This window comes from Homo sapiens, chromosome 1 (assembly GCF_000001405.40).
Source record: "Homo sapiens chromosome 1, GRCh38.p14 Primary Assembly".
Classification (NCBI taxonomy): Eukaryota; Metazoa; Chordata; class Mammalia; order Primates; family Hominidae; genus Homo; species Homo sapiens.
This window is the reverse complement of record NC_000001.11, coordinates 25,295,463-25,321,469: the sequence shown is the minus strand read 5'-3', so window position 1 is coordinate 25,321,469 and position 26,007 is coordinate 25,295,463. Positions and strand designations below refer to the sequence as shown.

Here is a 26,007-nt window from a genome sequence, read left to right as displayed (position 1 = left end):
AGGCTGGTCTCGAACTCCCGACCTCAGGTGATCCACCCACCTCAGCCTTCCAAAGTGCTAGTATTACAGGCATGAGCCACCACACCTGGCCGATTCTGTAGACATTTTTTTTTTTTTTTTGAAAAAAAGAACTGGGAATGGCAGTGTACTGAGCAGTACATGAGAGCCACAGATCTGACGCCCTTCCCCAGATGGAGTAAAAGGGCCCCACGAAAGCTGATCCATGTAAGACATATGGGCTACTATGGAGGGTGACTCCAATTGGGTGCTCCTATAGGTCTGTCTTCTCTGGCTCCAGTCAACTCCTGGGAACCTCAGCTTAAGATTCCACTTGTGTAGTTAGGAAAGTAGCTTATAACTTGCTTAAGTGCCTGTCCTTCCTTTTCCCCATCTTTTTAAGTGTCTTTGATTTTATTTTTTATTTTTGGGACAGAGTCTCATTCTGTTATCCAGGCTGGAGTGCAGTGGCACAATCACAGCTCATTGCAGCCTCAAACTCCCGGGGTCAAGCAACCCTCCCACCTCAGCCTCCCAAGTAGCTGGGACCACAGGTGTGTGCTACCATATCCAGCTCAGTTTTTGGTATTTTTTGCAGAGACAGGACTTAGCCATGTTGCCCAGGCTGGTCTTGAACACCTGAGCTCAAGTGATCTGCCCGCCTTTGCCTTCTAAATGGCTGCGATTACAGGTGTGAGCCACTGTGCCCAACCTCCATTCCCTGTCTACTCTCTGCCCAGATAGCTTGGCCATATGTATTCCTCCAGCTTCCTGAAGTTGGATGAATTTCACAGGACACATGGAATGAGTGCTTCCTTTCACAGGAAGCAAGGAAATGCTCCTGATAGATTTATCTGTGTATTATTAAGGATGATCAGTTCCAGTGTCGTTAACAAGAATGGGCGAGTGCTTAGTGAGATTCGTATTTCCCTTTCGTGGTGCTGCTTTTAGCTGATATTGGCATGCAGGGTACAACCAGCATGACGCAGTTAGCTTGAATTACTCAGTAACGATCTCTGGCGCCTGCATGAATTTTCCAGATAGCTGAGGCTTACTCATCACTGAGGAATATCTGTCTAAAATATATTTTGTCTTCTGAGACAACATTAAACATATTTAGACTTTTTTTAAAAAAAATCAGAACCATCACTAGGAACACCCACTTATAACGTGCCATATAACGTGGAAAAGGTGTGTAGCTGTGGAGGGTTGTTGTTCTAATCTCTCAGCAGCCCAAGCGTTTTGTGTTCTTGTGTCCAGTTTTAAGAATTTGTCGGCCGGTCGCAGTGGCTTATCCCTGTAATCCCAGCACTTTGGGAGGCCAAGGTGGGCGGATCACCTGAGGTCAGGAGTTCGAGACCAGCATGACCAACATGGAGAAACCCTGTCTCTACTAAAAATACAAAATTAGCCGGGTGTGGTGGTGCATGCCTGTAATCCCAGCTACTCGGGAGGCTGAGGCAGGAGAATCACTTGAACCCAGGAGGCTGAGGTTGTAGTGAGCCGAGATAGCGCCATTGCACTCCAGCCTGGGCAACAAGAGCAAAACTGCGTCTAAAAAAAGAAAAAAAAAAGAATTTCTCTTCCTCTGTTAGGCTCTTTGCTTTCACTTCTAACTTCTGCTGGTGTACTTTACCTCTAGAAACCTAGCCCACCTCTAATCTGCTATTTCTAATCTACCTGGGCTGAGAAACCCAATAACTATGCTTGATAGGATTGTTTCTTAAATAAATACAGACAGGCCCATAGAGGGCTCAATTAACAAATTAAATGCTTGTCTTCTGGGAGTCCATTTGGTGCAATTTTGGCTGCTTGAGGAACTTTTTCCCCCTTCCATTGTCCAAGTTGTTTTGTTTCCTTTTTTGAGACAGGGTCTTGCTCTGTTGTCCAGGCTGGAGTGCAGTGGCATGATCTCAGCTCACTGCAACTTCTGCCTCCCAAGCTCAACTGATCCTCCCATCTCAGCCTCCAGAGCAGCTGGGACTACAGGTGTACCACCACGCCTGGCTAATTTTTGTATCTTTTGTAGAGATGGGGTCTCACTATGTTGCCCTGGCTTGAACTCCTGGCCTCAAGCTATTCTCCCACCTCAGCTTCCCAAGGTGCTGGGATTACAAGTATGAGCCACCCAAGTTGTTTTTAATCACCAGTTTGCTCATGTCAAAAACAACATGTAAAGAAGAAAACTTGTTGGTCTTAACTCTTAAAGGAACAATATGATTGTCTTTTCCTCTATTCTCTTTTTTGACTCCAGTGAAGAATAAGAAAAGACCTCCTGGTACTTTGCAAGACAGAGGGCAAGTCAGCACCACTTTGAACATACCAGTGATAACAGTGAATAGTGTGAGTCCCAGGACAGGGTTGCCAAATAAAATGCAGGATACCCAATTCATTTCAAATTTAAAAACAGACACCTTGCATTTTTGCTAAATCCGGCAGCCTTTCCCAGGGTTGGATTGCCAGCTGCCACGAACTGAACGTTAACTTACGGAATTAACGCTACTCCGCCTCTGCTTCTTCACAAAGACTCTGCAAAAAGCTAAGGCCAGACATGGTATATTAAAGCAATTCTAGCCAATCTCACACTCAAAAATTACCCAGGTAACTCCAAAAAGTACCTCCATACAGTTTGTTAAAGCTGGAAGGAAGCCAGCTTAGTTACCATAATCCTTTCATTTTACAGAGAAGCTAACCAAGGCTCAGAGGGAGTAAAGTGACATGCCCAACGTCACACAACTCATAGTGTCTTACGCCATTTGTCTCTTATTTGGCATTCACCTCCTGCTTAGGGACACATATATGGGTGTCTAACCAATAAAAGATGTTTGCTTGTAGAATAAAGGTGAACAGTTCTGGATGGAATGTATATTTTCTTTCTTTTTTTTTTGAGACAGTCTCACTCTGTCACCTAGGCTGGAGGGCAGTGGTGCAACCTCGACTCACTATAACCTCCACCTCCTGGGGTCAAGCCATTCCCCTACTTCAGCCTCCCCAGTAGCTGGGACTACAGGCACACGCCACCACGCCTGGCTAATTTTTGTATTTCTGGTAGAGACAGGGTTTTGCCATGTTGGTCAGGCTGGTCTCGAACTCCTGACCTCAAGTGATCTACCTGTCTCAGCCTCCCAAAGTGCTGGGATTACAGGCGTGAGCCACTGCACCTGGCCTGAATGTGTATTTTCTTTTTTTCTTTTTTTTTAGACAGAGTCTCGGCTCACTGCAACCTCTGCCTCCCGGGTTCAAGCAATTCTACTGCCTCAGCCTCCCAAGTAGCTGGGATCCAACACCACGCCTGGCTTATTTTTTAATTTTTAGTAGAGATGGGGTTTCACCATGTTGGCCATGCTGGTCTTGAATCCTGATCTCAGATGATCTGCCCACTTCGGTCTCCCAAACTGCTGCAATTACAGGTATGAGCCACTGCACCTAGCCACATATTTTCACCTGGCATATAAGTAAAACTGGCTAATTAGCAACTCCCCTAGATTTTTTGCTGTTCTATTTTATTGCAAGAACAGAAACATACTTTTCCCCTTTGTTGAAAGATCTCCAGTGGCTTCCCATCTTTTATAAGGGCCTGCTCCTCACTACCATTCTGCCCTCAACCCCTGCTGCTCCTTCTCACTCCATTCACACCAACCACACTGGTCTCCTTACTGTTCCCTCAACACACAAAGCATGCTGCTGTCTCAGGGCCTTTGCACTTGCTATCCTATTTTCATGGAATGTTCTTCCCCTAACTAAATGCATCGCATATCTCCCTCCTCTTCATTGGGGTCTCTGCTTAAAAGCTAACTACTCAGATAAGCTTTCCCTGACCACCCCCCTAAAAGAACACCCCATCCCACATTGACTCTATGTTTCTCTAGTTTGCTCTGTCTTCACAGCCACTTCTTCCCATCTGGCGTAGTAGACACTTATTTGTCTATTTATTGCTAATACCTTCCCCCACTAGAAGGTCAATTCCATGGGGTCAGGGAATTTGTTTTGCTCACTGCTGTGTCCCCAGTGCCTGGCTCATAGTGGATATTGAATAAATATCTGTTGAATAAAATAGTATTATGGGTGTCCTCAGAAATAAAAGGTAGGCTTTTGGGTGTAAGGATTTTCTCGGGCTTCTGTGCAAAACTGAGTGTGATCACCAGCCCTGGGTTCAAAAGTCTGCAACGTTGCCACTCACCCTACTTATAACCTCAGGGATGTCCCTTCCCTGCCCTGGCCTCACAGTCCACATTAGCAGCAGGTGACCTCTAAGAACCTTTCCAATTCTGAAATTATGTGATCCTCAGGGAAGGAGATGGGGCACATAGACATCCAGCCACACGGCAGGGTGCGCTCTGGACGTGGGTGCTGTGTCCTGGCAATGGTGGAAGAAAGGTGGCCTCACACTGACCTGTCAGGAGACCAGACATGAGAGCTATCACGATGGCCAAGCTGAGTTCCCCAATGCTGAGGAGGACCTGGAAGCCAATCCTAGAAATGACAAAGCAGAGGTGGTCACTTGGGCATCAGGCAGCAGAGGTCATCAGGGACAAAAAGGACTGTCGGTGTCAGTAGTGCCATTGCCAGGAAGGGCCATGAGGAAAACAAGGGTCCTCTCCCTGGCTGGTACATTCCCCTGGCATTTTCCCAAAAAGCCACGCAGACATGTGGGAGGGAGGGAGGCGACGGAGATTCCAAGATTGTGGCTTATTTTAGTTCCCAGCACCTCATGGATAATGAACCAGACCAGGAGTCAGAAAACCCAAGCTCAAGTCCCAGCTCTGTCACTTACTAGCTGCAAGACCCTGGGCAAGTCCCTCAACCTCTCAGAGCCTCCAGTTTTCTCTCTCTCTCTTTTTTTTTTTTTTTTTTCTGTTTTTGTTTGTGAGATGGAGTCTCACTCTGTCGTCCAGACTGGAGTGCAGTGGTCGGCTCACTGCAACCTCTGTCCCCCAGGTTCAAGCGATTCTTGTGCCTCAAGTAGCTGGGACTACAGGCATGCGCCACCATACCTGGATAATTTTTGTATTATTAATAGAGACGGGGTTTCACCATGTTGACCAGGGTGATCTCGAACTCCTGACCTCAAGTGATCTGCCCGCCTCGGCCTCCCAAAGTGCTGGGATTACAGACATGAGCCACCACATCTGGCCAGCCCCAGTTTTCTCGTTAGGCAATTAAAGATGAAGGTTCTATTTCTCTTGGGGCAAGGTGGGTGGGGTAGAGCTTGGCTTTCAGACCCATCTCCCCTGCCCATCCCTACCCCTTGAACATACTTCCACGACCTCTCTCCTTCAAGGCAACCCCAGGGGTTCAATTCAAACATTAAGCTATTACGGGGGCCCTTGGATGCTGAATGTGATTGTCCCAGGGTTCAGCCTGCACCTGGGCACTGCCAGCCCGTTCACTGCAGCCCCACGGATAGTTGTACATAACAAGCCAGTTTTTTAAGCCTTTCCTGTTTCTTGTCTCAACAGGTGGGCAGCTCATGTTCTCATTTTTAAGACAAAGCAAAGCTCCAAGCCTGCAGCCTCATGGGGTGGACCCCACCTTGTATGTCATTTGGTTATCTTCCCTGTCTTTACTGATTGTTCATTATAAAGTGGGAGAAATAATGACAGTCCCTACCTCATAAGATCATAGGAGAGTGGAGAGAATTAAAAAGAATTACCTGCAGACTAGAAAAATAAATTAAGGCCGGGTGTGGTGGCTCACACCTGTAATCCCCACACTTTGGGAGGCCGAGGCGGGCAGATCATGAGGTCAGGAGATGGAGACCATCCTGGCTAACACAGTGAAACCCCTTCTCTACTAAAAATACAAAACATTAGCCGGGAGTGGTGGCAGGCGCCTGTAGTCCCAGCTACTCAGGAGGCTGAGGCAGGAGAACGGCGTGAACCTGGGAGGTGGAGTTTGCAGTGAGCTGAGATCACGCCACTGCACTCCAGCCTGGGCAACACAGCGAGACTCCATCTCAAAAAAAAAAAAAGAAAGAAAGAAAAGAAAAATAAATTAAAAAGATAAAAAGAGTTGCCACCCTGCTGCTCATGTAGGGAGTGCAGATGTCAACAACTACCTGCCCAACCATTCAGGCAGCCATCCCCCCTTCCGTGTGGCAAGCTCCAGGCCCTCATCTTTGCCATCTTTGTATATCTTCAATAGTTTGCTTCCTCCCCAGCTCCAAACACAGTTCAGGTTATCAAAACCTCAGGGAAATATTTGTTGAATGACTGAAAAATGTAGTCAATTACTCAATTCATTGATCTAATAATAAGTGATTTTTAGGAAAAAAATCAGGGGGACATATGCATGACCTTGCAAAAAAAATTTTTTTTTGAGATGGAGTCTTGCTGTGTCACCAGGCTGGAGTGCAGTGGCGTGATCTCAGCCTCCCGAGTAGCTGAGACTACAGGCAAGAGCCACAACGCCCAGCTAATTTTTTGTATTTTTAGTAGGCACAGGGCTTCACCATGTTGGCCAGGATGATCTCGATCTCTTGACCTTGTGATCCGCCAGCCTCAGCCTCCCAAAGTGCTGGGATTACAGGTGTGAGCCACCGCGCTGGCTGCAAAAATTCTTAAAAAGGACATAAAAGAACTAAACATAAAGGGAACAATGATAAATTGGGCTATATTAAAATTAAGAACCTCTCTTGTTCAAAAGACACCATTAAGAAAGTAAAAGGTGGGCTGGGCATGGTGGCTCACACCTGTAATCCTGGCACTTTGGGAGGCCAAGGTGGGCCAAAGTTGAGGCCAGGAGTCCAAGATCAGCCTGTCCAACATGGCAAAACCCTGTCTCTACCAAAAATTATTTTGTCTATACAGAAGTTAGCTGGGCATGGTGGCATGCGCCTGTAATCTAAGCTACTCAGGAGGATGAAGTATGAGAATTGCTTGAAGCTGGGAGGCAGAGGTTGTAGTGGGCTGAGATAGCGCCACTGCATTCCAGCCTGGGTGACAGAAGGAGACTCTGTTTCAAAAAGAAAGAAAGAAGGAAAAAGGTAACGCACAAAGTGGGATTCATATCCAGGATACGTAAGGAATTCCTACAAATCAATAAGAAAAAGACAGAACACCACAATAGAAAATGGGCAAACTAACTTGAATAGACATTTCACAAGAAAAGATATTCAACTGTCCAAAAAGCATATTAAAAGTGCTCCATTTAGTTAGTTATTGGAGATATCAAAATGTAAACAATAGGTTTGATTGCTAAATGACTAATCAAAAAGAAGGAAAACACCAAGTGTTGGCAAAATGTGGAGTAAAAGGAGCTTCTATACACTACTGGTGATTAGATTGGCGCAAACTACTAGAGAAAATTGTTTAGCAGTAGCCACTAAAGCTGACTGTGTGAATACTGTATAATTCAACAATTTCACTTCTAGGCATATAATCAACAGAAGTGCATTCGTGTGCTCCAAAAATAAAAGTGCTAGAATGTTCATAGGAGCAATACTAGAATATTCATAATAGCTCCAAACTGGAAACTACCCAAATCCTCCTCAATAATGGATAAATAAATTCTGCTGCATTCACACAATGGAACACTTGTTCCAACTATCTTTTCTTAGATTCTCTATTTGCCTATCTGGCATTCATTTATGACAGGGCCACACTAATGGCCAAAGTTGTTTATCTCATTTTCTTGCAAGTCAGCTTTCTCAGGCATAGGAAACTCATATTATAAACCCCTCAGCTACAAATTCTAACATATGTGTTTTCACTTCCTGCCCATTAGTGGATGCCCTCACCCAGTTACTCTCCCACCACTCTTTTTCATAAAGGCATAGTCCCAGTTCCCCCTCTCTTTCTGCTGCCTGGTCCCTGGATGATACAGTTTTGTGTGGCCCTGCATGACGTGTTCTGCCTCTTGTTTACAGGGGAACTGTGAACAACAAAACTTTCCTTCCAATAATACTGGAAGAAAATGCCACTCAGTCACCTTTATAAATTAAGACCCAAGCATGACAGAACACTATATCCCAGTGGAAAAAGGGTACAGCAATGCTTAACAACCTGGATGAATCTCACAACTACAATGTTGAGTAAAAGAAGCATACAAAAGCACAGACTTACTGTATGATTCCATGTATATTATCTCAGTTCATTTTCTATTGCTATAACAGAATACCACAGAATGGGTAATTTGTAAAATAAGTATATATAGCTCATGGTTCTGGAGGCTGGGAAGTCCAAGAACATGCTGCTGGCATCTGTTGAGGACCTTCTTGCTGTGCCTGCCATTACATGGCAGAGGGTATCACATGGCAAGAGGGCAAGAGCATGTCAGCTCAGTTCTCTCTTCCTCTTGTAAGCCACCAGTCTCATCATAGGGGCCCCACCCTGATGACTTTATCTAATCCTAGTTACCTCCCAAAGGCTTCACCTCCAATTTCATCAACATATGAATTTGGAGATTAAGTTTCCAACACATGAAATTTGAGGGATGCATTCAAACCACAGCATCCTGCCCCAGCCCCCAAAATGCATGTCCTTCTTACATGCAAAATTCATTCCAATAGCACTAAAGTTTTTTTTTTTTTTTTTTTTTTTTTTTTTTTTTTTAGAGATGGGATTTTGCTCTATCATCCAGGCTGGAATGCAGTGGCATGATCATAGCTCACTGCAGCCTCAAACTCCTTGGCTCAAGTAATCCTCCTGTCTCAGCCTCCTGAGTAGCTAGGACTACAGATGTGTGCCACCATATCCAGCTAAGTTTATTTAATTTTATTTGTAGAGACAGAGTCTCACTCTGTTGCCCTGGCTGGAATGCAGTGGCACGACCATAGCTCACTGCAGCCTCAAACTCCTGGGCTCAAGTGATCCTCTCACCTCAGCCTCCTGAGTAGCTAGAATTACAGGTATATGCCACAATACCTGGCTAATTTTTTTATTTTTATTTTTTGTAGAGACAGGTCTCACTATGTTGCCCAGGCTGGTCTTGAGCTCCTGGGCTCAAGCAATCCTCCCACCTCAACCTCCCAAATCACTGGGATTACAGGCATGAAACACCACACTTAGACAACCCCCAAAGTCTTAACTTGTTCCAGCACCAACTCAAAATTCCAAAGTCCATGGTCTCATCTAAATCAGATGTGGGTGAGACTTAAGGTACAATTCATTCTATGGGAGATTCCCTCTGGCTGTAAGCCTGTAAAGTCAAAACAAGTTATTGACTTCCAAAATACAACAGTGGAACAGGCATAGGACAGACATTCCCATTCTAAAAGGAAAAAGAGGCAAGGGAAAAAGGGTAACTGGTTCCAGGAAAGTACAAAACCCAACATAGAAAACAACATTAAACCTTAAACCTTCAGAATGATCTTTTACTCTGTGTGCCACCTCCTGGACACACTATGGAATTTGGACCCCCGAAGCTTCGGGGAGCTCTGCCCCTGTGGTTTTGCTGGGTTCTGCCCATGTTGCACTTCGCACAGGTTGGAGTCTCATGCCTGCAGTTCTCCCAAGCTGGCATTGCACTATGATAGCTCTACCATTCTGGGGTCTTGGCGGTGGCCCCACCCTTGTAGCTCCACTAGACCCTGCTCTACTAGGGGCTCTCTGGGGTGGCTGTTCACAGCACCCTTTGAAATGTAGGTGGAAGAAGGCATGCCCCCTCAGCTTTTGCATTCTGCACACCTGCAAAATTAGTGCCATGTGTATGCTGCCAAGGTTTATGACTTTTACCTTCCACATCACACCTGTGGCCACCTGAACCACAGCTGGGATGGCTGAGGAATGCTGCACCAGAAATGTGGGGAGCAGAGACCCAAGGCAGCCCTGGGCAGCAGCTGGTCATTCCAAACCATTCTGCCCTCTTAGAGCTCTGGGCCAGTAATGGGAGGGGCAGTCTTGAAGATCTCTGAAATGGCTTTGGAGTTTTTCTCCCTTGTCCTGATGAACAGCCTCTGGCTTTGTTCTATGTGTACTAATTTTCTTTCTTCCTTTTTTTTTTCTTTTTGAGACGGAGTTTTGCTCTGTCGCCCAGGCTGGAGTGCAGTGGCGCGATCTTGGCTCACTGCAAGCTCTGCCTCCCGGGTTCATGCCATTCTCCTGCCTCAGCCTCCCAGGTAGCTGGGAATACAGGCGCCCACCACCACGCCTGGCTAATTTATGTGTACTAGTTTTCTTATCAGTCGGTAGTTGTGTCACACTCTCAGTGTTCTCAGCTGAAAATGTTCTTTCATTCCCTACAACATGGCTGACCTACAGATTTTCTGCCTTCCATAAATGACTCTGGCACAGAAAAAGTTCAGCTAAGATCTTTGCTTCTTTATAAAAAGGATGACCTTTGCTCCAGTTTCCAACACGTGGTTCTTCAGTTCTATCTGAGACCTCATCAGAATGGCCTTTACCAGCCATATTTCTATCAGCACTCTGATCTCAACGACTTCAGTAACCATTAAGAAGTTCCAGACTTTCCCTAGTTCTGGGGTCTTCCTTTAAGCCCTCACCAGAACTGCAGAACTGTCTTTAATGCTCCATTCTTTTTCTTTCTTTTTTTTTTTTTTTGAGATGGAGTTTTGCTCTTGTTGCCCAAGCTGGAGTGCAATAGCACGATCTCAGCTCACTGCAACCTCTGCCTCCTGGGTTCAAGTGATTCTCCTGCTTCAGCCTCCTGAGTAGCTGAGATTACAGGTGTGCGCCACCACGCCCAGCTAATTTTTTGTATTTTTGGTAGAAACAGCGTTTCACCATGTTAGCTAGGCTGGTCTCGAACTCCTGACCTCAGGTGATCCACCTGCTTTGGCCTCCCAAAGTGCTGGGATTATAAGCCTGAGACACCGTGCCTGGCATAATGCTCCATTCTTGACAATACAGGCTTTTTCTAGCCTGCTCCTCAAAACTCTTCCAACCTATTCCCATCACCCAGTTCCAAAGCCACTTCCACATTTTCAGGAATCTGTTACAGTAAAAACTCTACTTCTTGCATTAATTTTCTTTCTTTGTCCATATTCTGTTGCTATGACAAAATATCAAACTGGGTGATTATAAAGAAAATAAATTGATTTAGCTCACAGTTCTAGAGGCTGGGAAGTCCAAAAGCATGGTGCCACCATCTGGTGAGGGCCTTCTTGCTGCATCATGACATGGAGAAGTCATCACACAGTGAGAGGGCAAGAGCATGCCAGCTCAGATTTCTCTTTCTCTTCTTATAAGTCACCAGTGCCATCATACCTCACCCCATGACCTTATCTAATCCTAATTACTTCCCAAAGGCCCTTCCTCCAAAAACCATCAACATATGAATTGAAGGATTAAGTTTCCAGCACATGAAATTTGGGGGACACATTCAAACCATCACATATATAATGTACAAAAACAGACAAAACTGACTGATGCTGTTAGAAGTCAGGTTAGTGGTTATCCTGGAATGAGACAAGAAGAGGTTCTGGGTGTTGGTTATGTGGGGATATCAGAAGATTCATCAAATGGTACTTGTATGATATTTGCACTTTTCTGGATATAGCTTATACTATATAAGTTGGGTTTTTTGGGGTTTTTTTAAGTAATAAGTGGCAGAATAGAGGATAAACCCAAACCTGCTGACTGCCACCCCACAACTCATTCTATATGATGCTGTCTGGAAAAAGAAATGAATGAAGCAGAAATCCATCACCATGATAACAGTCTCCCTGCACAGGGTCTCCCCTGGCGAGACCCTCAGCTCAACACATGTCCTCACAGCAGCCCTGTGAGTGAGCTATTAGTGTCCCTATTTCACAGAGGGCAAGTTCAGGTTAGGGAAGTGAACCAAGAATTCCAATGTTTTGTGGCTTGGACTGGGTGGCTCTTGGGATTCAAACTAGGCAGGCCTGTCCACAAAGCTTGGCCAGATGCTTCCCAGATTTCAGCATTTGAGGACAACATTCATGAATTTAGCCATACTGGCATTCCAGAGATGCTATTAAAATTTTTTTTCTCCAAATAGACTTATTTTTACATTTAAATAATTGAATTTAAAAGAAAACTGAGTTACTAGCTTGAAATAGAAGGGAAATGGGAGGTAGCTGTAAAAAGAGATACAATGAAAACAAAATGTTGCTAAAATCTCTCCCAGATATGGCAGTCTGAGGTTTTCTCTGCTATTCAAAAGAGTGGTTAACAAGAGCTAGAAGGGTGCAGAGATTCTCAGGCCAAGTGGGGACTTTCTTTTCTCCCTGACGTAATCAAAGGACTGAGAATTGAAAAAGAGTATCTGCAACTGCATGATTCAGTGCCATTTCAGTGTGCCTTCCCATTACTTAAAAATCCCACAGTTTGTGGGAAATGCTCCATCCTGGTTCTGATCACAGCATCTGACTCAATCACATATGCTCATCTGAATAGGAAATTGGGAAATATTGTTTGTGGAATTAATGCAAAGTCAACTGACTTGCCCAATGCCACCAAGTAGCTAATCCACAGTTCCCATTAAGTGTTGTGACTTTGCGCTTAATCCTCTCTCCATCTTTCCATTACATAGAGATGTCCTCATACGGATGCAGCATCAGTCATCATAAAGAACGGGGCTATGTTCTGTTGCTAAATCTGCACAGCAACCCTGTGACATAGGTCTTATTTTCCCATTTTACAGATAGAAAACTGAGATTTAGAGAGTTTCAGTACCAGGACTAAGGCTGCATGACTGGCTTCACCACTGGTGAAGCCCACGCCTTTTACTCTCAGCAAACCAAAGACTTCCGGAAGAGAGATCATCACTGTCACTATGCCCTTCCCTTTGCCTGGGTCCTGCAAAGGCAAGAGGATAACTGCTTCTTGGTCCTCAACTCACTCACCCTGATGAGAGTTGACTTGCAGGGATGTGCTGGAGCCAGTTCCCATAGGCTCAGTGGGCTGATTGTTCTCATCTCTTCCCAAGTCCATGTATAGTGATGTCTCCTTGACAGCTTGAACTCAGTCATGCGGGAAGCGTTTGTACCATAGAAATTGCAAGTGCTACCAATCAAGGCTTTATTTTCTTGGAAAGCCAGTTTGTTAAGTTAATCCTTTACCAGAAAACCACTGATTGGCTTTTTCTTTTTTGGCTATAGGTCAGTGGTTCTAAAACTTGAGCTTGCAAGAGAACACTTGTGGGGCTTGTTCAAACATGGACTGATAGGTCCCACCCCCAGATTTCTAACTGGGTAGGTCTGGGGTGGGGCCGTAGGTAGGGCTTGCATTTCTAACAAGTTTCCAAGTGATGCAGGTGCTGTGGAGAACCAATGCTTCCAGAGAACCACAGAATCACAGAATTGGGAATCTAGGCAGCCCACAAGCAGAATTTAGCCACACAGTGTTACTAACAATCTTGAATTTTCTGCCAGTACTTGGGAGAGCACATGCAAAACTCTAGATTTTGAGCTCTTGAGAAGTCATTGGATCTGGCAACACTGAGCCTGGGTCCCTGCACTGTGATGATGGGTGCAAGCTGAAGAGCTCCCTTCCTTCACTGGCTTTTTTTTTTTTCTAACTTCCCCTGCCTGTTCTCTACAGGCATGTGAGTAGGACCTTGCTAGGTCAAGTCCTCATCTTTCAGAGGGGAACTCTCAGGCCCAGAGACAGGAAAGGTTCTGCTTAGAATTGCACAGTTATTAAGACAGTGGCAGACACATCACTGGAACCCATCACAGAGGCGCCTTGCTTCACACAGCTCATCCCCTCCTCATCCCAAGCAAGGATGTCTCACCCACTGATATGTGATCCCTATAATTTGGGGCTATGGTTGTCTCTGTAGAAGGCATCCAAGAACCGGTAGGAACCGCAGCGCCTCCATGATTTCTCTGAGACACGTCCAAACGCATCAGCTCCTCATCACCTGCTTCAGCCATTTTTACAGCCAGGTTCCAGCCGAGTGACCTTGGGCAGATAACTTCTCTTAAATCTCATTTCTTAGAGTCTGAGAATACCTCAGTAGGCGGTTGTGAGAATTCAAGGAGATAATGCATATAATGGTTTCTAGCACAATGCCCAACACTTTTAAAGCAGTCAATAACAGTAGTAAATGTTATCAGTGAATATGATTATCATCATGCTACCAGTTCATCTCTAAAAATCTATCCCTGTATCGTGCCCAATTCACTTTTTCATTTTATATAAGCCATGTCCAGAAAATATTCACACAACATCCAGGAAGTAATGGCTAGGGCTCTGGTGTGTCAAACTGACCATTGCTGTCCACTGTCTAGGGGCCACAGGACCTACCTCTGGTCTGGAGGCCCACATTCCCACCTCGCAGTGAGACCTCAGCCAAGGCCCACCCCTCTCTGGGCCTCAGGGATGGGTTGTGCTTAGCATGTCCCTGCATTAGCTTATTAAATCCAGTAGCATCCCAACAGTCCTGTGAGGGGAGATAGTATCATTATCTCCATTTACAATGGGGCGACTGAGGCTGAGAAAGGTTAAGCCACATGCCCAGCTAGTACGCAGTGGGAGCACGTCCACAGCAAAGCTCTGCATCACGACCTGAACCACAGTCTCAATTGGCTTGGGCCTATTTGACCTGCTCTGTGTTTGTGGGATCACAAAAGATTTCGTGTCTTTGGTCTATACCTAGGTGGCCCTATTTGGAAAGAAGAGGTGGCCTGGAGAGGTGATAAATCCATCCAAGGTAGGGGCTGGACAGAATTTCTGAATAAATCAGCCAACAAATATTCACCGAAGCCTACTGAGCACCTGGCCCCGAGTGCACACGCCCCAGCTAAGGACTCTGCACACATTTCTTCCTGAGTTGGAGGGGAGTGTTAAGGGGATGGGGGGTAAGCCCAGTGACCCACATGCCATTGCCGGCTCCGACGGTATCAAGCACCAGCAGCACAATGTAGATGATCTCTCCAAGCAGACCCAGCAAGCTGAAGTTGTAGCCCATGATGGAGCTGTGGGGAATCCCCAGCACTCGGTTACAACACCCCTGTGGACAAGTGTTATTATAAGCAGATTGGCAGGTGAGACCCATATTCCCTACCCACCCCTTTCACACACCCTTGGTATCCGGGGCCACCAAAGGGGGATGGGCACTAAGGCTCACCTCAAAGAAGCCCTTCTCAGACTTGAATGTGCACTCACATCATCGGGGAGTTTGTTGAAATGAAGAGCTGGCTTTAGTGGATGTGGGGTGGGGTCTAACAGCATTTCTAACAAGGTCCCAGGTGATGCCAATGCTGCTGGTCTACGGACCACACTATGAGTAGCAAGGGTCTAGTGTAGACACTGTTCACAATTTCAGCTGATAATTCCTTGTGGTGGGGGCTGCCCTGTGTACTGTAGGATGTTAAGCAGCATCCCTGGTCTCTCCCCACGAGCTGCCAGTAGCAGCCCTCACCCCACTGTGTCAACCAAGAACGCCTCCAGACATTGTAAGATGTCCCCTGGGGGGTGACCAAGACCCACTGGTCTAGCCCAAATTTAAGCACCATCCCAAAGACAACACAGCTGGTTAGAAAGAAAGCATGAGGCCACACCTTCAGATCCCTACTCAGTAATCCTTCCTCCCCATCACTCAGCCTCCCACACAGCCGTGAGCCAGCAGATGTGGACACATATGCAAATTCAATCAGGCTGGTTCCTTCCTTAGAATCCCTATTAGTCTTCAGAATAAAAATCCAGGTTGGGCACGGTGGCTCATGCCTGTAATCCCAGCACTTTGGGAGGCCGACATGGGTGGATCACCTGAAGTCGGGAGTTCAAGACCAGCAGGGCCAACATGGTGAAACCCCGTCTCTACTAAAAACACAAAAAATTAGCTGGGCGTGGTGGTGGGCGCCTGTAGACCCAGCTACTCAGGAGGCTGAGGCAGGAGAATGGTGTGAACCCGGGAGGCGGAGCTTGCAGTAAGCTGAGATGGCGCCACTGCACTCCAGCCTGGGCAAAAGAGCGAGACACCGTCTCAACAACAACAACAACAACAACAACAACAACAACAAAATACATACACACACGAAAATTAGCCAGGCATGGTGGTGGGCACCTGTAATCCCAGCTACTCAGGAGGCTGAGGTAGGAGAATCACTTGAACCCAGGAGGTGGAGGTTGCAGTGAGCTGAGATTGCACCACTGCACTCCAGCCTGGGTGACAGAATGAGACTCTGTCTCAATAAATAAATAAATAAATAAATAAATAAATAAATAAATATCCAGACTCCTCAACTAGCCCAGGAAGTGTGCCTGAGCACCTCCCATCTTTCAGGGATCTGGGTCCACCATGCTCCTGGGTGGACCCTATGCCTTTAGAATGTCTGTTTCCTGGTTGGGCCACACACTCTTCTTAACAATAAGCTTTCATACACACTGTGCCTTCTGCCTGGAATACATTCCCCATGTCTCTGCCTGGCTAATACTACTTCTCTGTCAACACTTGGCTGTCAACCGTTTCCTCTGCTCCAGGAAGCATTTCCAGACCCATCCCAGGCTAGCTCAGATGTGCCCTCTTGCTGTTCTCACACTGTATTGTGTGTATCCATTTCGCTCACTAAACTATAGCTTGAAAAGCAAGATGAGTGTTAAAACGTATGTGTTGAATGAAGGAATGATGAATGAATGAATATATGAATGAATGAGCGAATCATTTTTGAATAGTCCTGCCAGTGATGAAGTCAAGGAAACAAGCTCAGGGAATGCGATGGGCGCTGAGACTGATGATAACTTGCTATGTGTTCTTTTTTCTGCCCTTCCTCCTTTCATTTCAGGGTTTCAAAGCCAGAGGAGATAAAAGAAATTTGTTCCCCTTGCAAAGATGAAAATCAGATTTGCCCTGGTTTTGGTTAATCGAAGTATTGATACGTTTTTCCTTATTTAATTTTATTTTTTAATTACCTCCAGTTCCATCCATGTTGCTGCAAATGACAGGATTTCATTCTTTTTATGGCTAAATAATATTCCACTCTGTATATAAACCACTTTTTTTTTTTTTAAGACAGAGTCTTGTTCTGTCGCCCAGGCTGGAGTGCCATGGCACGATTTCAGCTCACTGCAAGCTCTGTCTCCCAGGTTCAAGTGATTCTCGTGTCTCAGCCTCCTGAGTCGCTAAGATGACAGGTGCCCGCCACCATGCCTGGCTAATTTTTGTACTTTTAGTAGAGATGGGTTTCACCATGTTGGCCAGGCTGGTCTTGAACTCCTGACCTCAGGCCATCTGCCCGCCTCGGCCTCCCAAAGCGCGTGAGCCACTGCGCCCAGCCAGTTTTTCCTAATTTTAGGTTGGAATGCACTCCCTGAATAGCCCCTGTTCATCCAAATCCAGCCTTCGAAAATCTACTCCTTTTTCCTCCATCAAGTCTTCAAACCCATGAAGATTTGTTGTCCCTAAATATTTCTCTTAGAGAAGCACATTATAACCAATTGGCTATAATGAAGTATTCTGGAACGATCAGGATTTGCTGAGTATTGGAGAAAGATCCATCCACTTAGAAGAAGAATTAAACAATCAGAAGTGGACACGACCTGGACCATCAGCCCAGCACTCCCTCTTCTGGGTGCTGCTCCTCTCACATCATCCACGTGGTTCCCCGGCAGCAGCCACATATGCACGATGTGCCCACCCCCAGCTGAAGACAACATTATCCAAGTTAAACCAAAGAGCCCCTTCTCCAGAGAATTTGGGATTGGGGCCAAGAGATTCCATCCACCAGGCTGCTTTCTTGAAGCAAAAGACTACACCCCACAATGTGGGGTGAAAGAGGAGGAAGCATGTCTATAGAGTAAGAATAAAGCAGATATTCAGGAAAAGCAAAGAAAGAAGTAAAACAGGGGCTTCGGGGCTCCCCACAACACTCCAGTCCCTGTCCTTGAGTTCTGTGACACCCCAGTAGCCTGATAACAAATTCTCCCCAATGCCCAAGCAAGCTCAAATGGGTTCTGCCACCTGCTCCCGAGCATCTTAACAAATGCGCCACCGAGCCAGGATGGATCCCTCACTAGGCGTTGAAGCCAATAAGAGAATGCGCCGACACCTGCCTAATGCAGCTGTGCACTGCACAGTGGCCCATCAGGTCCCAGCGTCCTGCTGGCCTTCAGCCAAAGCAGAGGAGGTTAGTTGTCTAGTTTCTTACCGGCAGGTACTTGGCTCCCCCGACGGAGATCAGCCCAGCCACAAGACCCAGCACCATGGCAAGCCACGGAGAAGGGATCAGGTGACACGAGGTACCCACAGCCACGCCTCCTGCCAACACCGCACTGTGCACATAAGTCTGCAAAGAAATAGCGTGTGGGTAAAGGAAGCAAGGTAGAGAGAGAACACCATCTTGCTGCAAGTGACCAGCACGCTGGGAACAAGGCAACCCTGTAACATCCTCCCTGCTTTGCTGATCCTGAAACCACTTCTCCCCTGTGTTGGGGCTACGTGTCCTTCATCAGTGGACATGATGGGCCAGCTCACTACTGCCTCTTAGGCTCAGGGCACAGTTACCCTGATTGTGCAGCATTTAGGGAATGAGCTGGGAAGTCCAGGTGCTCAGCATCCTAGGCACCCATCACACTCATTAGTGGTGTGTCCCTGGGCAGCGGGAAGAATGGGTTTTTGTTTTATTTTTTAGAGACAGGGTCTTGCTATGTTGCCTGGGCTGGTCTTGAACTCCTGGCCTCAACCAATCCTCTTGCCTCAGCCTCCCAAAATATTGGGATTACAGGTGTGAGCCACTGCACCTGGCCTAGAAGAATGGGGTTTTGGATGTACCTTCTTCATAAGGTTATTGTAAGGATTAAATGAGTTTCCACATATAAAGCTCTTAGCCCAGTGTCTGGCATAGAACATGAATAAATGCCCAGTAGACACAAATCATTGTTATTGTTTTTATTATTATTATTGGCTACTTGGTGCCTGTGCCACCCTGTGTGACTGGGCCCAGTTTCAATAAGCTGGGCCTTGTTCCTGGGTCATAGCTCTGCTATGTCCTTCACTGCTCCAGAACCGGAGCCTTGCCTTGCTCTTATCTGACACCCTCAGCTCTCACCTAGGATTAGCCTCTGGGCTTCCCTGAGTTGACACCCACTCCTGCCTTGCTGGGTGTCTTAGACTTTCTGTCACCATGGAACTCATGGCCACTCACTTCCTCTTAGCACTGAATTCTGCTGTGAAGCTGTCATCTGTGGCCACATTCTTTCCACTCCAGCCCCCCCAGTGCCTCCCACCCGAGCCCCACCACTGGTCTGTCCAGACTTCCCTCCGACACCACCAGCTGGAGCCCCTTCCCCCATCATCATGAGAACTTGTTTTGTCTCCCCTCTCACCCATCTCTGCCCACAAGACTCACACACACCATCGTCTCTCTTTACTAATAGCAGCAGCTAATGTTTGCCTACCATTTACTCCCCGTTAAGCACTTTACATGCACCATCTCTTAATTCCCACTTTACAGATGAGGCCACTGAGACTCAAAACGTTGAAGTGGCTTGACCAGAGCCACATGGCTAGTGTCACATACTTCTCTACTTCTGATTCTGATGGTTCCATTCTTGAAATTTGTTGGGGGGAAGAGAGAGGCTGGCTAATTCTAGTCTAGTCTGTTGCTGCTGACTCTCGCTCATGGTGACTGACTTTAGCAACTAGCAGAAATGGGGTTCAAACTGAGGTCTGTTTCATGTTAGCATGGATGGATTTAATCACTACCCCCAGAAAGCCTTTGATCACTGGACAGTCTCCTGAGTCCCAGGCCCACTGTGACCACCCAGCATTCTACCTAGAGCTCCACTGTAGAGGCAGGCACAGCTCCACCACCCGGCATGCCCTCTCCCAACCCACGCTGGCCCTGGGGTGGGGAGGGGCATAAATATGTGTGCTAGTCCTGTTAGACCCAAGTGCTGCCCAAGGGCAGCGCCCTGCTCACCTTGCTGATCTTCCCTTGGGGGTGAGCCAAGGATGACCCTGAGATGGCTGTCACCACGCTGACTGCTACAGCATAGTAGGTGTTGAACACGGCATTCTTCCTTTCGATTGGACTTCTCAGCAGAGCAGAGTTGAAACTTGGCCAGAACATCCACAAGAAGAGGGCGCCTGGGGGCCAGAGAGGGTGGTTGGCCAGAATCACACTCCTGCTCCAAAGGTCTGAGCCTCGAGGGGTTTTGGATGAGAATCCTAGGGCTGGAGAGTCTCAGCCTTGTCACTTAGAGTTAGATGGGGAAGTCACGTCTCCCCTCCGAGCTCTCAAGCTGATACCAGCTAACCACATTTTACAGACAAGGAAACAAAGGCCAAGAGGGTTGAAATCTGCATACCCCAGGCCTCCTGAACCTGCTCTGTGAAGTGCTTAATTCAAAGGTATGAATTTAGCAAACACTACTCAAAGAAATGAATCATGATGGAAGGGCTTCAGACACCCAGGGGAACTTGGTAAAGGAGGGAGATTTTTTCAGCCAGAGCCTTTTCTGAGCCATTCTGCTCAGCCCAAGTAGGAGACCACTCACCCCACCTTGTCCTTACCCAGCATGGCAGACAAACTGGGTATCGTTGCTGTCTGATCTTTATCCTCCGTTCCCTCGGGTAGAGGCTTTGGCAGGCACCAGGCCACAGACAGCCCAAAATAGGCTGCGAACACGTAGATGTGCATCATGTTCATGTGGTAGTCTGTCTGCAATAAAACCCAGTAAGAGCAGTGAGTGTCGGCATCCTCTGCCCGGGGCAAGCCCTGATAGTCCTTGGAGAAAGTTCAGAGCTTCACTTAGGAGGTGTGACTTGAAGCCATGAGACTGGTGTTCAGAGCTTACCCAGCCCAACCCAGCAGGCTCTGCCCAGGCTGGAGTGCAATGGCACGATCTCGGCTCACTGGAACATTTGCCTCCCAGGTTCACGCGATTCTCCTGCCTCAGCTTCCCTAGTAGCTGGGATTACAGGCATGCGCCACTACGCTGGGCTAATTTTGTATTTTTAGTAGAGATGGGGTTTCACCGTGTTTGCCAGGCTGGTCTCAAACTCCTGACCTCAGGCGATCCACCCGCCTCGGCCTCCCAAAGTGCTGGGATTACAGGCATGAGCCACTGCGCCTGGCCTTTTTTTTTTTTTTTTGAGACAGAGTCTTGCTCCATTGCTCAAGCTGGAGTGCAGTGGTGTGGCCACAGCTCACTGTAGTCTCCAACTCCCAGGCTCAAGCAATCCTCCCACCTCAGCCTCCTGAGTAGCTGGGATTACAGGAATGTACAACCATGCCTGGCCAATTTTTAAATTTTGTGTAAAGATGGAATCTTGCTATGTTGCTCAGGCTGGTCTTGAACTCCTGGGCTCAAGAGATCCTTCCCTCCCAAAGTGCTGAGATTACAGGCATGAGCCACCACACCCGGCCTATCAGTAGCTCTTATATGCTTTTGACCAAGGTTCACTTAGGTGTGGCAAAAACCCACATGGACACGCACCTCACTGATTCCTACTTCTCAGCGGAATTTTAACTCTGCGGGAGTGATGAGTGATATAAATTTTGCAACATGAAGCAACCAGACTTCTTATAATACCAAACTAAGGTCTTCAGGAAATTCTAGATATATTCTAATTTTGCCTGTAATCCCAGCACTTTGGGAGGCTGAGGTGGGTGGATCACCTGAGGTCAGGAGTTCGATACCAGCCTGGCCAACATGGCAAAACCCTGTCTCTACTAAAAATACAAAAATTAGCCAGGCGTGGTGATGCTTGCTTGTAATCCTATCTACCTGGGAGGCTGATGCAGGAGATTCACTGGAACCTGGGAGGCGGAGGCTATAGTGAGCTGAGATGTCGCCACTGCACTCCAGCTTCAGCGACAGAGTGACACTGCGTCAAATAAATAAATAAAATAAAATGCAAGTCAGATCATGTTACTCCTCTGCTCAGAAGCCTCCAGCGGCTCCCATGTCACTCAAAGTCAAGGTCCAGGTTCTTGCCACGACCCTGCAGGATCCACTCTCACCTGACCTCTCGGGCGTCACCTCCTATTGCCCTCCTCCACTTGCTCATCCTCAAACCCACTAGCGTGTTCCCACTTTGGGTCATTCAGCTGCCTGAAATGCTGACCCCCAGCCAGGGTGTAACAAGGGCAGGGTGGAGGGAGTAGTCCACCCTGGGTGCAAGCAATCGGGGTGCCTTGTCTGTAGAGGGTGTCTAAGAATTCTAAAGCCAACTAAAAAGTCTGTCTGCTTTTTATTTGTATTTATTTATTTATTTATTTTTGAGACGGAGTCTCACTCTGTCGCCAGGCTAGAGTGCACTGGTGCCATCTTGGCTCACTGCAACCTCCACCCGTTGGGTTCAAGCGATTCTCCTGCTTCAGCCTCCCAAGTAGCTGGGATTACAGGCACCCACCACCGTGCCCGGCTAATTTTTGTATTTTTAGTAGAGACGGGGTTTCACCATGTTCCCCAGCCTGGTCTCGAACTCCTGACCTCAAGTGATCCATCCGCCTTGGCCTCCCAAAGCGCTGGGATTACAGGCATGAGCCACTGCTCCCAGCCTGTTTTTTTTTTTTTTTTTTTTTTTTTATCACCATGTGCTGACAATTCTAAACAGCGTGGCTGGTAAACAGCCCTCCCAGCACCCTGCCATTGTTCTGCCGCTGTTCTCAGGTACCCATATGGCTTGTGCACTCGTTACCTTCAGGTCTGTACTCAAAAAATCACCCTCTTGATAAGATGAAGCTGCCCCTGGCCACCCTCTCAAACAGTTATCCTCTCTCCCCAACTTTTCGTGTTTCTTTTCTCCATTTCATTTTTATCTGTGGTACTTACCACTCTCTAACATGCTATATCTTTTGCCTATTTTATTGTTTATTGGCAGTCTTTCCTTCTGGAACAGACGTTCCATGAGAGTTGTATTTTCCACTGCCACAAGAGTCCCTGGTATATAGTAAATACCAAATAAATATTTGTGAAGGGAACAAATGATGGTAAAAAGCCCTCAGTCATACATAAAGAGGAAAGTCTATGCAGTTTCCTGATAAGAACTGAAAAGCGGGCTTGTGTTTTTCATCTCTTTGAACTCCACCAGGAAGGAGTTCAGGAAGAACACTTGGGGATTCTTGGCCTGGAATATTCATTTCTTGAGCTGGTGCACTGAAATGACTCTGGTCCCTGGCTCTGGTTCCCCCGGGCCCTCCTGCTGAAGAAACCCAGGCTGAATTGAAGTTTTGAGGAAAATGAATACTCAAAATCAGTGCTAAGCCCTCCTCTAGACCAGTTAAGCTAGCAAGTCAAAGATGCAGAGAAGAGAGATGATGTTATATCAATGCAGTCTTTTAAAGCAATCGTTATGAAGACTGCAACAAAGCAGGAAGAGGTTCGGGCTCACAGGGAGTGTTCTGCCTCTGAAATTTACTCCTCTTCTTGACAGCCATGTTTTTACTGTGTGAACTATTTCCCATGCCAGCTGTAGCTGCTTGGACCAGAGTGGAAAAATGACCCAGGGGACTGATCAGATTCTCTCTCCCTGGACTACAGAATTGAGACTAACTGAGAGAAAAGAGTTGTTTTCTGCAGGATCTGGGACATAGAAATGCAGGAACAAGTGGAGGTGGATGGGTGGGTGGAGGGGACACGTTTTTCGCTAAAGAGAAAGCTGGTGTACAGAGATGTTAGATGTACGGAGAGAATAAGAGCCAAAAGATGGAGAGCACAGACTACCTGGGATCTCAGTGGCTTCTCATAGCCAGTTCTAGTGCCCTCCTGAGTCTGGCAGCACCTCCTGCCCTTGGAGGTTCTTTGTGTTTGTTTGTTTTTTAAAACTGTCCATACTACACAGATACACCTTTATGGTTCTTACACTGAATTCTCTTCATTCCGCCTAAGAAAGCTCTGCTGACATTTTCTTCCTGGGAATCAGGGAGTTCTCATTAATCCTTATATTAAGCAGAGAGAAAAGGCAGAAAATGGAAGTGTGTAAACCGGAATCCAGGAGCCCATGGTGATATAAATAAGTACATAGATGAGTGGATGAACAGAGAAGCGAAAGCTTTTCCTTACAGAAGAATGCCAACTACTGAAGGAAAGATGGAATTAGAAAACCACCATTGGCAATTATTATAGTACTAATTTATTCAGGGAAGAATCAATGAACACTAAAATCAGTGGGTGAAAGTTGGATGATCAACAGGATTTCTATAGGAAATTATCTCCTCACAAGATGTTTATTAATTACAAAGGGGAAAATAGTAACTTTGCAGTGGAAGATCCTGGCAGGTACCATCTTAACCCAATGATCACAGTTAACACACCCAGTAATGGGGCAAATTGATAGCATGTCTTCTGATATGATATACTAAGAAGGGCACACACGGCTCTTGGAGAATTCCTACCAAAAATGCATACCCACAATCTAATCATGAGGAACAGCAGACAAACCCACATTCTACAAAAGAACTGGCTCGAAACTTCAAAACATGTCAAGGTCATGAAAGATAAAGAAAGATGAAGAAACTGCTCCAGATTGATGGAATTTAATAAGACATGAGAACTAAATGCAAGATGTAATCCTCGACCACAAAAAATATATATTTTTTTCTAGAAAAGATATTATTGAGAAAATTGGTGAAATGAGAATAAGGTAATCATAATATATCAATGTCAATTTCTCATTTTTGTTAACTGAAAAAAGGTTATGTAAGAGAATGTCCCCTTGTTTTAGGAAATTGTGTTAGTCTGTTTTCACACTGCTATAAAGATACTTCCTGAGACTGCGTAATTTATAAACAAAAGAGGCTGAATTGACTCACAGTTTGGCATGGCCGGGGAGGCCTCAGGAAACTTACAATCATGGTGGAAGGTGAAAGGGAAGCAAGGCACATCTTACGTGGTGTCAGGTGAGAGAGAGAGAGAAAGAGAGAGAGGAAGTGCCACACTTTCAAACCATCAGCTCTCCTGAAAACCCACTCACTGTCACAAGAACAGCATGGGGGAAACCACCCCTGTGATCCAATCACCTCCCACGAGGTCATGCCCTCAACACGTGGGGATTACAATTCGAGATGAGATTGGAGGGGGATACAGAACCCAACTGCATCAGAAATATACACTGAGGCCGGTTATGGTGGCCCACGCCTGTAATCTCAGCAATTTGGGAGGCTGAGACAGGTGGATCAACTGAGGCCAGGAGCTCAAGACCAGCCTGGCCAATATGGTGAAACTCCATCTCTACTAAAAATACAAAAATTAACTGGGCATGGTGGCATGCCCCTAATCCCAGCTACTCGGGAGGGTGAGGCACAAGAATTGCTTGAATCCAGGAGGCGGAGGTTGCAGTGAGCCGAGATCACACCACCGCACTCCAGCCTGGGTGATTGATGGAGCAAGACTCTGTCTCAAAGAAAAAAAAAAAAAGAAATGTACACTGAAGTATTTAGGGGTTAAAGTCACATACACAGATGAAGACAACCAAAAATTAATAAATACAAACTTCCAGGCTGGGCGCGGTGGCTCACACCTCTAATCCCAGCACTTTGGGAGGCCAAGGCGGGTGGATCACCTGAGGTCAGGAGTTTGAGACCAGCCTGGCCAACATGGCAAAACTCCGTCTCTACTAAAAATACAAAAGTAAGCCAGGCGTGGTGGTGTGTGCCTGTAATCTCAGCTACTCGGGAAGCTGAGACAGGAGAATCACTTGAACCTGGAAGGCAGAAGTTGCAGTGAGCCAAGATTGCAACATTGCAATCCAGCCTGGATGACAACAGCGAAACTCCATCTCAAAAAAAAAAAAAAAAAAAAAAAAAAAAATTTCCCATATTCCCTCCCAGACCATTGTTCTTTTTTCCACCCCAAACATCCCCAGCTCCCTTGAAGAAGATGCCATCACACTCTCCCTTTCTTGCTGTGGTCTCAGCCTCCCGGCCGCCTCTTGGTCACTGATGATGTCAGCCCCTGCCCTTCAGCCTTTCTCTCCATCATTCTTCCACAAATGATCTTAGTCCACCCAACTCCTTCCCTCTCGGCTCCTTGACCGCTCGTCTCTTTCCCTGCGTTACACTTCTGCCACCCACTGTCAAGCCTTAGACCTTGTCATTACCAGTAACTGTTGCCTCCGAAGCCTCAGTTTCAAGCATCGCACCTGATAACCACCACCACCTCCTATCTGTCCGGCTCACTTCCTTAAATTGCCTCCCTT

The 26,007-nt window shown here is 46.6% G+C and overlaps 2 protein-coding genes across 17 annotated transcripts in view; one reads left to right on the top strand and one right to left on the bottom strand.

Annotated features, from left to right (window-relative positions):
* The window catches only part of RSRP1 (arginine and serine rich protein 1), a 96,006-nt gene that overhangs the window by 16,785 nt on the left and 53,214 nt on the right, over positions 1-26,007 (top strand). The window contains exons 2-3 of one of the 8 annotated variants that reach the window (NR_135793.1): positions 14,521-14,574; positions 16,649-18,735. The exons of 4 other annotated variants lie outside the window; for them this stretch is intronic. The gene's annotated coding sequence lies outside the window, so the exon portion shown is untranslated. Of the gene's footprint in view, positions 1-3,198; positions 3,408-14,520; positions 14,909-16,648; positions 18,736-26,007 lie in introns of those variants that run through there. 3 more of the 8 variants (NR_135791.1, NR_135790.1, NR_135792.1) reach the window with 3 other exon arrangements.
* Positions 1-26,007, bottom strand: part of RHD (Rh blood group D antigen) — a 57,960-nt gene that overhangs the window by 8,976 nt on the left and 22,977 nt on the right. For 2 of the 9 annotated variants that reach the window (NM_001282870.1, NM_016124.6), the window contains 5 exon segments: positions 4,391-4,470; positions 14,741-14,874; positions 18,011-18,148; positions 19,784-19,950; positions 20,377-20,524. In NM_001282870.1, the coding sequence (NP_001269799.1) occupies positions 4,391-4,470; positions 14,741-14,874; positions 18,011-18,148; positions 19,784-19,950; positions 20,377-20,524 (667 nt within the window). 9 annotated transcript variants of the gene reach the window in all.